Raw genomic sequence first — 18319 nt, forward strand, 5'->3', positions numbered from 1 at the left:
AAACAATAATCTTGACTATTCACAGTAACTCCGGAACAATGAAGGAGGAAGAATGAATGAGTTGCGCCCTGAAGATGGTGGGCTCTCCTTTATGCATGATCATCACGATCTCTCTGCAATGTCTGTCCTGTGACCTCGTGAGGTGTGCAGCGTCATGCCAGACATCTGTGTTTGGATGGCCCTCTGGCTCCTCCACAATTACTGCAGAGTCAGAAGTGGAATTTCCGCCTGATGTTTTATGTCAAAATCAGTATGAAAGACTGCAGCATGCTGAGTGAGCTTTCCGTTCTCGCTGAGATGCAATGCAGGGTCCACCCTCTGCAGGCCACAATTTTGCCTGGAGGCAAAGCATTCAGTCTTTCCATTGGCCTGACAATTTGAGCCAAGCTTTGAGGCCAACAGACAAAATGCACTAGCAACTGGAGAGGTGAGTTTTGTTAAATTACAATAACATCCATGCATCCAGGGGAGCTGCAAAAGTCATTCCTGTTCCTGTCAGATGCACTCAAAATCAACAGCCAAATTATTCCTGCCAAATGCTCTGAGGCTATTGAATAGAGTCTTGCACTATTTTAAATAGTAACTTAAAACCTCTAGTTTCATGGCTCAGTAATAATCATGATAATTCTAATCAGTATCCTCATTAGTGAATGCTAATAACTGTTTATTGAGTGGCCACCATGTGCAAGTGCTTTGCTAGATACTTTATGTATGCCAGATATTTAAGCTTCGTAATCGCTTTGTAAGGTGGATGTTATTATCCTGTCCTATCGCTGGAGAAACAAATTCAGGACACGTAAGCAACTTGCCCAGTGTTACCACCCACAGAGATGACGTCAGTGTACTTAAAGAATACATGGGCTAGGCACGGTAGCTCACGCCTGTAATCCCAGCACTTTGGGAGGCCCAGGCAGGAGGATTGCTTAAGCCCAGGAATTTGAGACCAGCCTGGGCAAAATGCAAAACCCTGTCTCTACAAAAAAATACAAAAACTAGTGGGCATGGTGGTGGGTGCCTGTAGTTCCCACTACAAGGGAAGCTGAGGTAGGACGATCACTTGGGCCTGGGAGGTGGAGGCGCAGTGAGCTGTGTTTGCACCACTGCCCTCCAGCCTGTGCTACAGAGAGATTCAGTCAAAAAAAAAAAAGGAATAGTCTTTGAAAAAAAATGGCTTAAGACTTAAGTATGTAAGAGCTACTTCCTAGCTCAGGGATATTTTAAACAAGCCTTTTATTAGAAAATTGTAAACATACAAAACTAGAGAGCTATACTCATCAAGCAGCTCCTATCAGGAATAATTTGGAAGTAAAGGGTTTTGAATGATTTCTACCTTATTTTTCTTGGAGGAGAGCCAAGTCCTTAATAAGAATTTCTGCAGAAGAGGAGCCTGGGGCTGAATCTTATTTATAGAGGCAAAATACTATTTTTATTTCAATCTCACATTCTTACTGTCCCCTTGAATTTTCCAATTAATGCTGAAATAGCAAATAATATGAAGACTTAATTTTGAGTCGTCTAGTCCTCCTCATCCCTACTGCAAATCCTCAGTTTAGGTTTAAGGCAGGTTTATGCTGAGTCACATAATAGTCTCCTCCCTTGTTATAATCCACAGCAAGACTGCAGGGGTTCTTCATATTGTGGAACAGGCCTAAGTCAACTTATGTTTAGCAAATAATTGATTTAAACTGAGGTTGATTCAGTGGTATGCTGTAGCATGCTCATAGTGGCTCACAAGAGCTAATTGTACATGTCTCTTTCTAATTTTACATTTGATGACATGACACTGGTGACTTGAAATTGGCCACGGTGAGAGTATTTATACCATGGAAATTGACAAATGTACAAATCAGGGCTTCTGTTCCTCCAGAGAGGCAGTTGTTAAATATTTATCAGCACATTACTGGGTAGATTCTATTATTTGCTCAAAAGTATCTGCTGTCCTTCACTGTGGGTCTACTCCCCACTACTCTTCCCTGTGAGACTAGTATGTTTTTCACCCATCAGAAGTCCATCTTCGAGGGATAAAAGACTACAAATATGGTGCAGTGTATACTGCTTGGGTGATGGGTGCACCAAAATCTCACAAATCACCACTAAAGAACTGACTCATGTAACCAAGCACCACCTGTACCCCAATAACCTATGGGAAAATTAAAAAAATAATAAAGTGCATAGAAGGAAAAAAGAAAAAAAAGTTCATCCTGACCACGTGACTTGCTTTGGTCAATGGAATGTAGCCAGAAGTACATATGCCATTTCCAAGTAGAGGAATATGTGCCTTTTTTTTTTTTTTTTTACTTTTTACTTTGCCCCAAGCCAACATGACCCAGATAATGTCTGCTTCTTCAGTCTAAGTCCTAGAAAAAGATGACGTGTTACAAAATGACAGCCAACCTGTAAAGGACATGGACATATGCAAGGAATAAATCTTTCTTATTGTAAGATTTTTGGATGTGTTTTTTGTTACTCCATCACGACTTAGGCTAAGCTAATTAATACTGCAATTAAGACTTATCACTGAGTTGCTGCCATAGCAGGAAACCTAAATTATGTCACATGAATTCTGAGGCTTGGGAGTGGAAAGCAAAAAATAACATTGTTGGATGGAAAAATGGCAACCTGTGTTATCTAGTGGCAAGGTATTAGGTAAAACTGTCACCTTTAATCCCTAGGAAGACAGATAATGCACTAAATGAGTTTATGGCTTTAGGCAAAGTTGTGAAATGGAATGTTACTCTCATGCCTAAGTTGCTGTGGGCTGCACGTAGTGAAATGATATGAAAGTTGAGCTTAGGTAGGAATTGTCCATTTCGGGGAGATCAAAGGGAGTAGAAAGGGTCCAGAAATTTCAGAACTCAGAGGACTAGAGGGTGTAATTGATTTTGATTTCCAAACAACAAAAGATAAAACTGGAAATGTCTTTAAGTGACAAAGACTGACTAAAATTGAGCCTTGTGGCAAGGACCAATCAAAGGTATTGTTCCTCTATTAAAACCTCTCAACTGATTACAGTGGCACCAATTAAATCCTTCCAGTTGGACAAAATGACTTAGGGAAAAGAGATTCTAAGTGTAGTTCTTTCATTGGAGCCAGATAAATTTAAGTTACCTGCAATTAAGTCTAGAGGGAAAGTCGCAACTAGGAAAGAATTACGGATGTGGCCATTGGCACATGAGGCTGTTTGGAATCAAATAGATAAGAATGTGAGAAAGTTATGTTGCCAAAAGAGTCACCGGCTCATACTAAAATAGATTATAACTGTTTGAGACTTGAAATGACCTTTGGATTTCCAACTTTCTGTGGGAAGAAGACAGAGAAGCCTGGCCAGCTTCCAAAGAGGACATATTGTCCTTTACAAAAAATGCTTTAGGAGAACAATTGAAAAGGAAAAACCTCCCGGAGGACAGTGCCAAGCACCGTGCAGAACAATAGATTGAGTGTTATTGTTCTAGGTCCAGAATCAAGTCCTAATCAAAGAACGTTTCCAGTCTCGGTGGAAGGTAGTCTGCAACTTCTGCCCAAGGGACTTTCAGAATTGCCATGGACAGGTGACTTCTGCGTTCCTCTTCTCCTCTCACTTTCTGAATGGGAGTGTTTGTTTTAGGTATCCTGTTTCACCATGATACACTGGGCATATGAGGGGCAGATAACTTGTCTTTTTGATCCATAGGTTTTGCTCTCAAGAGAATGAACATCTGGGCCTGGTGTAGAGAACTCCATGAGCTCATGGAATTCAAGCCTGATGCTGTAACCGAATGGAATCTTTAGGTTATTTTTCTTGAGTAGGGTTGCCAGATTTTGTAAATTAAAATATAGGATTCCTAGTTACAATGGAATTTCAGATAAACAATGAAAAAATTTTTAGTATATCTCACTGTGCAATATTTTCCACTCATAGATGGGAATTGAACAATGAGGACACGTGGACACAGGAAGGGGAACATCACACTCTGGGGACTGTTGTGGGGTGGGGGGAGGGGGGAGGGATAGCATTAGGAGATATACCTAATGCTAAATGACGAGTTAATGGGTGCAGCACACCAGCATGGCACATGTATACATATGTAACTAACCTGCACATTGTGCACATGTACCCTAAAACTTAAAATATAATAATAATAAAAAAAAGAAAAAAAAATATTTTGGGCATACTTAACCTAAAAAATTACCCATTGTTGATCTGGAATTTAAATTTAGCTGGGCATCCTGTATTTAATCTGGCATCCCTATGGGAAAGAATAGATGTATTTTGCTTACAAATAGAGGAAAGTGGAGACTCATGATGCAGAATTCTGGTAGATTGCACTATTTATCCAAAACTTTGTTTCTTTTCTTTTTTTAGGGCCTGCCTGGTGGCCCTCCCTGTGAGAAGGTATTCTTCCTGCTCCATTGACATCAGGCTTATTAGCCATGTTTCTGGATTTGGTCCATTTCATGTGAGTGAAAATGATAATTGCCGCTTCCAGATAAAAACTTTAAGTGCCATCCTCTGATTCTGACATTTCTCGTGTGCCTCTACCATGATTCTGGTGTGCCACAGCTCAAGGTTGTTCCTTTGGTCTTGATTCTAGCATAAAGAGAACATGGAGCAGGGCTGCAGCTGATCTTCAAAGGGCATGAACACAAGCCAGAGAGAAGCCGTTATTGTTGTAAGCCCTGAAGATTTGGGGGATATTATTGCAACACAACTCAGCCCAAGCTGACTAATACAACAAGTTTCTATGTATACATGGAAATGTATGTAATCTTAGCCTCAAAAAAAAAAAAAAGAAAAAAAGAGTATCTGAAAATCCCAGGATACTCGGGGCTCATGGTGCGTAGTCAATGAAATGATTAGCTCTCTTTCTTCATCCTTCCCTCTCCAATCTTTTCTTTTCATTCTCCTTCATCTCATTCTCCTTCTCTCTGTGATTTACAAAGCTGGTCATGGAAAAAAAAACATAGGAGTCAGAAGGCTTCGATTCTAGGTTCATATGTATGAGATTTTTTGGAAAAAACTCATACTCTCAAGGAGTCTCAGTTTCCTCATCTTCAAGTGGGGATAATAACACCCTCTTTACCTATTCTGCTGGGTTCTTTTGTAGATCACATGAAAGAGAGGTTATGGAAATCCTTTATATATGTTTTGAAAATTCTATCCAGTTGCTGTGGCCTGAATGTTTGTGTTCTTCAAAATTTATATGTTGAAACCTAATCACTGATGTGATGGTGTTTGAAGGTAAGGCTGTTAGAAGGTGATTGGCACAAACCCCTCATAAGAGAAGCCCCAAAGAGAGCTAGCTTGCCTGTTTCACCATGTGAGGACATGGTGAGAAGAAGCCATGTAAGAATCAGGAAACAGGTCCTCACCAGGCATGGAATATGTCAGCACCTTGATCTCGGACTTACCAGCCTCCAAACTAGTGACAAATAAATTACTATTCACTAGCTGCCCAATTAATGGTATTTTATTATGATAGACTGAACTGACTAGGACACTAGTTATATGATGAAAATACCCTACTACTATTACTACTGCTAGTACTTCCTGTATTTGCTCATATTTTTGGAGGTCTTATTATGTTCCAAGTATGGTTCTAAGTGCTTTTCATCAGTAACTCTTGTAAGAGCCTATTTTTAATTCAGCAAAGGCAACAAAATACTTTCCCTGGTTTAGTGAGGAGTATTAACTAATTGGGGGTATAAACATAACATGGTTTCGTTTTTTCAATAGTTGCTACTACTCTTGTTCTCCATAGCAACTTTGGTTTCAATTCCATAACTTTCCTGTTGTTTCTGGTCAAAGGAACAGTTGCCTCTAGTTCCTCTGTCTATTTTAATATTTTGACCCTCTCCATTCCTGTCAGGACAGGTGGAACTCGTGGCATAGGAAGTTCAAGTGGCAGAGGGGGCCCAGTCTGTACTTGTCTCTACTCCCCCAGAGGAGGAAAGAAAGCAAGACAGATGCTCCCTCACGTGGATGTCCATGGTATAGTTGCTGTCCTCCCCTTGGGTGGCCATGACTGCTATTCCTGTCCACTGAGCTTCATGAGGGTTGGGGTGCCTCCCTCACCAGGATCAGACTCTGGGGTCCCCCAGCAGGAGGTACCGTGTGTATTCCTCTGTGGGCCTTGTATGGTCCTCCTTCCCCTTCTGCTGCGTGGGTCCCTAGGGATGCCATTGCTCCAAAAATACTTGCTTTCCCAAGCTCTTCAACTCCAGGGCTCAAAATCCCCTGGGGATCCCCTTCCTGTAGGTCTTGAGAATTGCAACTTGGGGGCAGTCCTGACCTGGTCATCATCCTCCTCACCACCTCACTGTGCCATCTCCTCACCTCATTCTCTAACCCCCAAAAGATGACCACTGATGACCAGTCTCCAGGTCAGTGGAGAACGTGTGTGGAGAAGTGCAGGAGGGGTGACAAAGCATCCCCAAACCTTACAAGTTATTTCCTTGATTTTGGAGAAGAAATCCACTGGGTAGTGCCCACCACCCCCTCACACAGCTCCAGCTAGAAGTAACGATTTACTCCCTCCCTACACTCCTCTTATTTTGTCTTTGAGGGTGGGGGTGCTGGTTTTGCTGAAATGACTCTGCTCAGTCAGGCTTTTGAGAGTGGGAGGGCAGGGGGCAAAGGCAGAAAGGGAAGCAACCAGGCCTTTCTCTGCCTGTTCTCTGAACTCAGAGCATGGGGTACTAAGGACCTGGGTTCTCTGCTGTGGGCCCAAAGAGGAAACAACAAGATCCACTTGGTACCTAATACCCTGTCACACAGAGGTACAACATCTCCAGCTTGAGGTGGTGTCCTGTGAGTGATAGCAGCTCCAGGATGGTGCATTTACCACTGAGGAAAAGTAGAATGAGCCCCAGCGTTGGGGGAGCGATCTGGGAACTGCCCTCCTATTTGCTCCCACAATATCCTGCAGGTTCTATGATACAGGTAGTTAGAGCTACTCACTAGGCTGCCTGTCTTCCCCTCCACTGCAGGACATGCCTGTATTTTGTCCTCATCTGTTGCTGTAGTTTGGATGTGTTATTTTTTTTTCCTTTGCATGAGTTTCCATGCAGAACACATGTTGGAATTTAACTGCCAATGTAATGGGTGTTGGGAGGTGGGGCCTTTATCCAAACTTTAATTAGGTCATTAAGATGATTAGTGTCCTTCTCTGGAGAGACTGGATTAGGTCTCTTGGGAATGAATTAGTTCTCGTGAAAGCTGGTTGTTATAAAGTGAGGCTGCCTCTCGTGTTTGGTGTCTTTGTACGCTTCTGCTTCCCCTTCCTTCTGCTTTCCACCGGGAGTCAAAGCAGCACCAAGTCCTCACCAGATGGGCTGCTGGATCTTGTACTTCCCAGCCTGCATGACTGTAAGCTCCATAAACCTCTTTTTATTCCTTGTAAATTACCCGGTCTTAGGTATTCAACAGAATTGAATTGCTTAGGTAGCAACACAAAACAGATGAAGACATCTGTATTCCCAGGACCTGGGACAGCACCTGGTATATGCAACCTACTCAGCAAATGTTCTCTAGAATCTTTAGAGATTTGGGAATATGAAGGAAAAAAAAACTAGAAAAATGGGGTGGCAGATATATTCCAGATAAAAAATATTTCAGGTGAATTCTACAAATCAGGGTGGGTTTCAGACAACTGTGAATCATGAGTATACTTGTTGGGGGAAAAATTCACATAGCAAAGACAGCTACTTCTTGCGGTACCCACTGAGGGACTGGGGCAAGGGCAATGAGAGGCATAAGCTGACTACAGATAGTTAACCCTGACATTTTCAACTTTAAAACAGTTTCATTTCCTGTTTGAAAACTTTGAGGGTCTTTTTCTGAACAACTTTTTTTTATTATACTTGAAGTTTTAGGGTACATGTGCACAACGTGCAGGTTAGTTACATATGTATACATGTGCCACGTTGGTGTGCTGCACCCATTAACTCGTCATTTAACATTAGGTATATCTCCTAATGCTATCCCTCCCCCCTCCCCCCACCCCACAACAGGCCCTGATGTGTGATGTTCCCCTTCCTGTGTCCAAGTGTTCTCATTGTTCAATTCCCACCTATGAGTGAGAACATGAGGTGTGTGGTTTTTTGTCCTTGCTATAGTTTGCTGAGAATGATGGTTACAATAGCAAAGACTTGGAACCAAGCCAAATGTCCAACAATGATAGACTAGATTAAGAAAATGTGGCACATATACACCATGGAATACTATGCAGCCATAAAAAATGATGAGTTCATGTCCTTTGTAGGGACATGGATGAAGCTGGAAATTTTTTTGTAATAGAAGGGGCAGACATCAATTTTGTAAAAATTTCAATCTCTAGGTTTTGTTTTTAGGAACATTTCTCAGAGGTTTTTCATCATGGATATTTGAAAATGCTGATGTAAAGAGACACATCTCAATTTCAATGCTGTCACAGCCATATTGTCCTTCTTTGGAGAGTCTTCGAACTAGAGTAAGCCATGGAAGCTTGATAATATACAATGTGGTTGCCTATGATGACTCACTGACCTGTCCAGATTTGTAATCTGCACATTTTAATGTAAATTGAGTGGTTGATTTAAAGACATAAATTATTTTAAAAACCAGTAGACTATATTACAACAACAACAACAACGACACCCTAGGATTTCAGCATTTTCAAACTTCAAAGAATACTGAAAACTGGCTTAGACTCTTGTTCTGGGGATGCTCAGCTATGCAGAGGAGATGCTGAGATTTCTGGCAGCCATCTTGTCTACTACATAGTTAGACCTTATATGGAGAATGAAGCCAAGGAAAACCAAGAAAGACACAATCCTGATAGATGTCTAGGAGTCCCCAGACCCAATGTAAATGGAGCCAAATTAAGACAAGCAGAGCAGAGAGATCAGAGGGAGACATCCCTGATAATTCCACTGGAAGTCCAAATCCAGCCATGCTTGAAGTTATCGCATCCCTGCTTTTCCCATTTTCCCAGTTTTCTGAGAAATAAATTCCCCTTTCCTCTCTTGGTTCTGACTTTAACTAGTTTGATTTCCGATTTAATCACCTGTAACTAAAAACATTCTCTGTAATAAACTGCATCACGAGTTTATTGGCAGGATAAATTGAGTTTATATACATAAAGCATTTCTTTGAGCATAGTAAGTGTTCAATAAATAGACTTTAAAAAATAAAATCTATTATAATCTGAGAGTAGCTCTTGTAACTAACATAGGTCAGACAGCAAGTAAGAAGTAGCCAAGATTTCACAGTTTAAAAGTTCAATACTTATAATTTCAGCAAACAGAAAGGATCTGGGGTGGAGCCAATATGATGTGGTGGATAGAACTTGGGTCATAGAGTCAGATAGACTCGAGTTTGAAGTCCAGCTCTGCCACTTTGCCATCTGAATGACAATGAGAAAATTGCAAGCAATTCTGAGGCTTTGTTCCCTCATCTTATAAAATGGGGATAATAGTGATAGTGGCAGGAGGCAGTCAAATGCCTAGGAAAATAGGGCAGGTCCCTGGTGAAACTGGACCTTCAAACCAAAGAGAATTTAAAGCCTGAAAGCCAAGCTACAAGTCTCAGATAAATCCACGGACTGGATTGAGATCCTCTCTTCCTATTTGGTGTGCTTTCCTCTGGTTGATCCCCACCCTTCACCTATTTTACATATACCTACCCTTCCCTAATTTGTTATTTGCACTGTCATGCCCATCCTTGAGTGGTGCCTTTTTTCAGCCTTTTTTTGCATACTCACAAACCAATCAGCATGCACTCCCACATTCTGAGCTCATAAAAACCCCAGACTCAACCACACTTGGAGGACCTCCTGCCTTCAGGTGGGTGAGACTCCCCAACTTTGGGTAGGGGGAGGCCAACTCAGGTTCCCCTCTCCGCTGAGAGCTGTTTCATCACTCAATAAAACTCTTCATCTTGCTCACCCAACAGCTGTTAGCATAACCTCATTCTTCCTGGGTGTGGGACAAGAACTCAGGACCCACCAAATGTTGAATGTGAACAGAGCTGTAACCCTGTAGCACTCCCCTCCTGCTCACCAAGCAATGGGAGAGGGAGCTGCTGGGTGCCACATGCCCCAGTTTGTTGGGACAGGACTGAAAGAACTGTTAACATGCTGTAATACCCCCTTAGGGGCTTTGGGGTAGCTGGCATCCGAGTTTTTCGGTTGCCACCATGTTCCCTTCGTCCATATGCTGGTGCCAAAGGTGGGAGCAGGTCAAGACATGCCTGGCCCATCCACAGGCTGGAGTGCAGGCCAAACACAGCTGCTGGGCCAAGTGGTGGAGTACCTCTTGTGGTGAGCCCAGAGCCAAGCATGGCACTGGGCAGGGGCATCGCTGGCTGCAGAGGTCACCAACTGGTGAAGCGACACCCAAAAAATCCTGCATCAATAGTACCTCCTTGTAATAATTAAAATAATCAAGAATGTAGCATTATTCCTGGCAAATAGACTTTCAGCAAATGCTGGCTGCCTCCCTCCTCCAGTATCTGCCACCTCTACAGGCTGGCCCCTTTTACAGGTTAGAATTTTATTTGTCAAAGCAAAGCACAAGGTTTACTGCCCCAAAGTATCTTCCCTTATGATGCTTCTGAAGGTGTGGTAAGGCTGTTGAAGAGTTGTAAAGAGGGGTTTATTGTTTTATATCCAAAGTGCTTTCTAATGAATATTTTATGATTTTTCTCACTGTTTGATAATTTTGTAGGATTCAAACAAGTGAGGAAACTTGATTTGTTTTGGAGAAAAAAAGAGAGAGAATCACTATGACTAATAACAGAGCCTATCTGTTCTGGGTACCAGAGATCCCCGGTTGGTGACCCCATCCCTGACTGCAGCATTAAGTCCTGAGTCATCTATCCCAATCAGCTCGTAGCAGTCTTCTTAATGTCTCCTATTGTTTAAGCATGGTCATTTGCCTAAATCGATACAATAAGACTAAATTAAAGGATATATACTTCAGTAATTTACATGCTTCAGGTAAAGATTTCTCACCCTTGCTGACATGAACATGGAGCACAAAGCTTTTAAGACCACGGATTTTTTAGCTGCTGTCTTGGCACTATGAGGGGACCCAGCCTTAGGATGAAGCCAGGTGCTGAGGACAGCAGAGCACAGGAATGGAAAGAACTCACGTCTATGATAACATCTTTGAACTGATAATTATACTGCACCTGGATGCCTCTTACCTCTGGACTTAATGTTATGTGAGGCAATCGATTTCCTTATTCTTATGAAAACCAGTTTCTGTGAAACTGATCAGTATCAAGCATGAAGCATGCTTCATGAAGCAGCATCAGACAGTAGAAAATACCAGGGCAGCTGCAGGTCACAGCCCTGAAATCTGGCCATGGGGTTCATATCCTGCTTCCACTTGTGCTAGCTGTGTGGCCTTGGGGAACATACTCAACCTCTGGCGGCTTCAGTTTCTGCATCTGAAAAACAATGATAATAATAGAGTTCCTCACAGGATAAATGTGCGTAACACACATAATGTAGTGCCTGGCCCATGGTAAGTCTCAATAAAATCTGACTTGTAATTATGGTTCCCTCTAGGTGTGAAGATCATCTCAGGATCCACAGATTGATTTGAAAGTGGATTCCCAGTCCTCTTCCTTTCTGTCATTGACTCTGTGTCTCTTTATTACTTTGGGTTTTTCTCACTTTTCCTTTCCTGATCTTCCTCCTCTCATTCCTTTAACTAGCCATAATTGGGATTGATTTATAGCTTTATTTGTTGTATTTTAAAATATGTAATTTTACATTTTCTCTTTTTAATTTAAGAAGTCAAAGAATGGAACATTTTATATTTCCTTCAATAAAAAAGAACCTTTTTATTTGATTTTTATATATATCCCCATTAAATTTCATCTGCTTGGCTTTGGTCCAGTGTTCCACCTTGTCAGAATCATTTTCCATCTTGACACTGTCAGTTATTGGCTTTGCCATCCTTCCTGGCTTTATTTCATCTGCCTTTTAAACCTTCACCAAGTTCTTGACAAAACCTGCAATTAAGGACGGCTCTATCAGTTAGCAGGTGAGGTGTATGTGCTGGAAAACTCTAAATCAATGCTCCTCAAACTCCGGTGACCATAAGAATCACCTGGAGAGCTTGTTAAAGCACAGATTTGTGGTCCCCTCACCTGAGATTCTGATTCAGTGGGTCTGGAGGGGGGACTTTGCATTTCTAATAAGCTCCCAAGTGATGCTGCATAGGGCTGCCACAAATAGTAGGGGCTCAGTCAAGTTAGTATAATAGGATTTTTTTTCCTCTTATGTTGAAGTCCATAGGCAGGTAGTCCAGCCTAGTACCAAGGTTTCAGAACCTAGGCTTTTCCCCCTCTCCTTCCTGCCTTAAATGGCATTTGGTTTCCTACTCATGTTTCAGAATGTTTGCTTGAGCTACAGCCATCATGTCCACATTCAAACCAGTAAGAAAGAGGAAGGGGGAAAGGATGTCTTCTCTCTTTTTAAGGACATATCTCAGAAGTTGTATGTGACACTCTACTTACATCTTCTTAGCCAAAACTTCCTCACAAATCACACTAGCTGCAAAGAAATCTGGAAAATATAGTTTTTATTTGGGGTGTCATATGCCCAGCTAAAAATCAAGGTTTTATGATCAAGGCAGAAGAGAATGCACTTCTGACATTACTGATTTTTAATGTTACAGCAAACCTTTCCCAACTCTCCAGCCAGAGGTTTGCAATCTAAAACCTGCAATGGGCTAGGAAATTACAATAAAATTCTGAATTTCAAATTCTGATCACCCCTCTACAGGTAAGTATTATTTCTTTCATTTCTGTGTTCAAGAAATTGAGTCTCAGAGAGCTTCAGTGACTTTCCTGAGATCTCTCGGTAACTAAATGCCCCAACCAAGATTTAAACTCAACCCTGCCAAAGCCCAGGCTTCTAATGCGTCATTCTACATCACAGGAATCCCACATGTGTTTGCAGGATGAGCCTTGAATCAACCAACTACTGTTGCATACTATGCAACCACAAAACTCTGAGACCTAGACACTTATTTTACTACCATGTCTACAAGTCAACTGGAGACCAGCTGCTCTAGGCTGGGCTGGACTGGACTCCCCCAAGCCACAGCTGGGTCTGAGTCTGCTCCATGGTTCTCCATCTTCCTCAGACTTGTGGGCCTACCAGGGTAGAGCCTTCTCATGCCAAAAGCAGAGAAGCACATCTCACTGCTGCTTGTCGTGGGTCTGCTTCCATTCCCTTGACTGAAGGAAGTCACATGGCCAAGACAAAAGCTAGGCAGTACAGTCCTCCAGGAGGGAGTAAATATTTCTGAATATGTTCTTATTTACCCCAAGTCCCTATGCAGATGCATTGGAATGGGAAGAGCCCCAGACTGAGAATCAGAAGTCCCTAGTTCTAGTCCCAGACCTGCCATGAATGACTTGTGTGGCCTTGGACAAATACTAGCCCCTTCTGGGCCTCATGTTTGTTCTAGAGATCTCTAAGGCATACGCAGGCTTTAACTTAAGAAGCTATGGCATGAAAAAACAAATAGTTGCCTCTCAAAATTCTAATCTCCTCTGAATGTAGCTTAGTCTTTATGCAAAAATAAACACACACACTAGAGTGTCTTCAAAACCACTGGGCTAATAATGTTCATGATTCTGTTAATGACCAAACTGGAGCACAGTGCAGCTGGTCCTGCTGGTCACAGGAAGGCCCCAGAAAGAAATGAAGCCATCAAGAAGCCATTGATGCTGTGACCTTCTGTTGCAGGCTGCTCCTCTACTTAGACAGGTGAGATTTAATTTTGGTGATTTATGATAATGCCTCTAAGTGCACGGGTAAACATGTCATGGTTTATTTTGCAGAATTAATGAAGTCTGATTAATCTCCCGATCCCCAGCAGATTCTGCTCTGAGAAATGGAGCAAGACTGCCAGGCTTTTGTGCAAATTATGGCGGGAGGATTGATAGCATGAGAATCATCTGAAATCCACACAATCTGACCTTTTTAATCCCATGGATCCTTTAGTTGGATTTGTTGCCATCATACTGGATGACTGCTGGCCAGGGAGAGACCCTTCTATGAACACAGTGTGCAATACCACAATTGCAGCTAAAGTTAATCAAGCTAGTTCCGTGCATCAGGCACTTCACATGGTCCTTTATCCCAAGGATTGAAAAAAGCACACACTTTTGACTTGGATGGATAGCAGTTCAAATCCTAGTCCCACAATTTAGAAGCTGTTTGATCTTGGATGTATAGTGCAGGTACTGTTGGTGTCCCTCTGTGTACATTCAACCCTGTGTCTTCTCTGTCCATCTGTGTCCTACACCATGGACAGTTTCAGCATGTTGCCTTTTCATATTTTGGTAGGAGAGATAAATATATAAGCAACAAGTTATATTGGAAATAAAACCCATGGGCGACTCTAAGCTGCAGATGGGAAAACTCAGTTTATCCACAACACTGGGGTTAAATCCTTCTTACTAAGAATTGGAGGCCAGGCATGGTGGCTCATGCCTGTAATCCCACCCCTTTGGGAGGCTGAGGCAGGTGGATCACTTGAGCTCAGGAGTTAGAGACCAGCCTGGGTAACAGTGAAACCTCATCTCTACACACACACACACACACACACACACACACACACACACACACACAGTTAGCCAGGCATGGTGGCATGTGCCTATAGTCCCAGCTACTTGGGGACTGAGGTGGGAGTATTGCTTGAGCCTGGGAGGTCGAGGCTACAGGGAGCTCTGATGGGGCCATTGCACTCTGGCCTGGGCAACAGAGTGAGATACTGTCTCAAAGAAAAAAAAAAAAAAGAATTGGAGATGGTAAAGATTCACAGCCAAATTTAGGGCTTTTGTGAGTTGAAATACACAAACAAGGTGGGATAGATTGTGCTGCAGCAAAAGGAGTGCTGTGATAGCCATCAGGAATCTGGATTTGAGTCTTGATTCTGCTGACTACAAAATATGTGACTGGGGGCAAAGTTACAAAACTTTTGGAATCTTGGTTTCCTCATCTGTAAAGTGGGAATGATAATGCCTGCCCTGCCTATTGCACAGAACTTCTTGTGGACATCCCGGAGATAAAAGCTGTCAATGATTAGTAACTCCATTTTACAGATGAAGAAACCGAAGACAAAAATGTAGGCGGTGGAACAGAGACCTAGATCTCGTAGTTCTTCTCCTACTTCATCTTTTACCACTGTTTTTCCCACTCACTGCTCCAACCACACTAACTTTTTGTCCTTCCCTTGAATAAAACAAGCTCATTTTCACCTCAGGGCCTTTGCTGTTTCCTCTTTCTAGAATGTTCTTCCCCTATGTCTTCATGCCCTTTGAGGAAGGATTGGCCTTCCTTTCTTGATATGCAGGAATCAGTACAAACATCTCTTCCTCATAGAGGTCTTCCACAGACCCCCATTCAAGGTGATCTCTCTCCTAGGCTCCCTTTTGCATACCATCCTGTTATATTTTTGCTCTATCACTTCCTGAGATTATCACATTTATGTATTGACTTATTAATCATCTCCCACTACTCTTTCTCCTTGAGAAGAAAGATCCTGAATATCTAATTTTCTGTTACATTGTCAGTGCCAAGAACAGGACTTGGTATATTGTGAGCATACAGTACATATTTTTTTGAATGAACAAATTAGCATGTATAGACTTATTTTTAATGACTATAATATGTTGCATGAATATACCATCATTCATTTAACCAGAGCTTTAGAGATGGATATTCAATTTTTCTTTTCTGCTTTTATTTATTTTTATTTTCAAATTATTTTGCTACAGCAAAAAAATGAGTATAATCTGTGTATACTTACTTGATTTTATCCATAGAGCATATTCTTAGCAGTGGGATTGCTGGATCAAAGGGCATGTACATTTACAAATTGTGATACATATTGTCAACTTCCCCTATAAAATATTTTCATCAATTTATGCTCCCATCATCTGTGTATGGCACCACCAGCTTGGGGTTCCCTCTAAGTCCCCGCTAATAACACATTATTGCTGAGAAGCCTTTGCTGCCTTTCAACTTGCTCTCCAAGTGTTTCATCTACTTTACTCATTACCCAGTGAAAGGCTGTGTGTGCAGCAGCTCTGCTGTGTTTCTCTGAGATCTAAGTGCTTTGGATGGTATTCTCCTCTCATTTAATTTGCATTCTCTAGACTGCTGTGGCAAAAGAAGGGACATTTAAAATATATGGTAGTGTCTGTAAAGATTAGATTATTGTTCAGTAAATATGCATTCTCCTCCCCCTACCCTGTGGCAGGAAAGTACTTTCTATACTCCCTAACTTTGGCCTTGGCCTCGTGATTAGTTTTGGCCAGTAGGATGTTCACAGAGGTGATATGAGCGGAAGATTCAAATATGCTAGTATTGTTAGGCTTGCTCTCATGCCCTTGTTTTTTTTTTTTTTTTTTGTTGCCATGAGAATAACATGCCTTATTTATCTAAATCAGCTGGATCAGATGAACTCCAGCTGTCATGTAGATGACACCAAGATTTTTGTTCTTATTTGTTACACAGCAAAAGCTGACTGACACAAAGTCCAAAATGAAACTAGAGCTCACATTTTGCAGCACTTGGCACTTTCTATGTTAAATATTAAATATTTCCTAGGGCAGTGGTAGGAGAGGAATATTTGAACCTATTGACATTCATCTTTGTGTGAGTTTAATTGAGTCTTGAAGAAAGTATAGGGCTAAATGAGTCCTAGGTGAGGACTCATAGCAGGAGGAAAGGTGTAGAAGAAGGACTGTGCAAGGCCTCTCTTAGGACTAGTGAGCAGACTAAAATACAGGCTACATGTCAAAGAGTATTGTAGGAGCTAAGGTTTGAGTTAGGAAACAAAGAATTTGAAGAAGTTAGAGATAGCTTTTATTCTTTAGCTACTGGTTCCAGCAAAGAAATATAAACTGCAAGGGAACCCTGGATGCCAATTATGTATCAATTATACCATAAATCATTGACATTCCAAGGTCAACTACATAATGAAAACAGGTAAGAGCCTAAGAATAGTCTGGCTGTGCCAAATAGAACAGGCTGGTGGGCAGCTTTATTCGTACTTGTATCGTTTCCATTTAGAACATCATTATTAATTAAGCTGTATTTAATGTAGTACCTGCCCACACTTTTGCTTCTTAAATATTGTATGACTATGGCTTTGTCTTCACAGAAAACAGACATCAATTGCAGTACTCAAAAGTTATTCTGAACATAGCCTCATATTTATCCACTTTTTGATAGCACATTTTTTTTTTTTTTAGACAGGGTCTTTCTCTGTCACCCAGGTTGGAGTGTAGTGGTACAGTCATGGCTCACTGCAGCCTCCACTTCCCAGGCTCAAGCGATCCTCCCACCTCAGCCTCACAAGTAGCTGGGACTACAGGTGTGTGCCACCAGGCCTGACTAATTAAAAAAATTTGTTTTTGTAGAGATGGGGTCTCACATGTTGCCCAGGCTGGTGTTGAACTCCTGGGCTCAAGCAATCATCCCACCTCAGACTCCCAAAATTATGGGTTACAGGTGTGAGTCATTTTGCCCAGTTGAATAAAATTTTAAACAATTATTTTGTGGGTAGTTTTTGATATTTAATCAAATCAATTGTGGTAATATTCATTCGTCCATTTTAAAATATTTAGCATCATGAGAAGTCATATAGATGCGAGTCTGAATTCCAAGTTCATCACTTACTCGTTATGTGCCCTTGAGCAAGTTATTTTACCTGGATAAGATTGTTTCTTCATCTGGAAAAGAGGGTGAATAAAATCCACCCCATAAGATTGCTGTAATGATTAAATTAATCAGTGTGTATTGAGCTGTATTAGTCCTTTTTCATGATGCTGATAAAGATATACCCCAGGCTGGGTAACTTATAAAGAAAAAGAGGTTTAATGGACTCACAGTTCCTCGTGGCTGGGGAGGCCTCACAATTGTGGGAGGTGAAAGGCACATCTTATATGGTAGCACACAAGAGAGGATGACAGCCAAGCTAAAGGGGAAACCCGTTATAAAAACATCTGATTTCATGAGACTTATTTACTACCACAAAAACAGTATGAGGGAAACCACACCCATGATTCGATTATCATCCACCGGGTCCCTCACACAACACATGAGAATTATGGGAGCCTTAATTCAAGATGAGATTCAGGTGGGAACACATCAAAACCATATCAGGAGCACATAGCATTGTCCCTGGCCTAAGGTAGGCTCAGTAAATGCCATCTCCTGCCATGCAGTTAAACATTTATTGAGAAGCATGAAGGGTTATGAGTTAGGTATCATGCTGGGCACAGTGAAGGAAGGAAACAGAATATTTGTTCTCAAAAATCTCAAAG

General features: G+C 41.6%; 2 long non-coding RNA genes across 2 annotated transcripts in view; both read left to right on the forward strand.

Annotated features, from left to right (window-relative positions):
* The first annotated feature begins 186 nt into the window (after positions 1–186).
* Positions 187–4755, forward strand: NCRNA00250 (non-protein coding RNA 250). The gene is made up of 3 exons (NR_126028.1): positions 187–427; positions 4343–4436; positions 4572–4755. It is a non-coding gene; the product is annotated as a non-protein coding RNA 250 (long non-coding RNA).
* A 7297-nt stretch (positions 4756–12052) lies between these two features.
* The window catches only part of LOC101927845 (uncharacterized), a 31965-nt gene continuing 25698 nt past the window's right edge, over positions 12053–18319 (forward strand). Inside the window, exon 1 of the long non-coding RNA NR_125427.1 lies at positions 12053–13748. This is a non-coding gene — a long non-coding RNA (uncharacterized LOC101927845). The remainder of the gene's footprint in view (positions 13749–18319) is intronic.

Source organism: Homo sapiens, chromosome 8, assembly GCF_000001405.40.
Source record: "Homo sapiens chromosome 8, GRCh38.p14 Primary Assembly".
Lineage (NCBI taxonomy): Eukaryota > Metazoa > Chordata > Mammalia > Primates > Hominidae > Homo > Homo sapiens.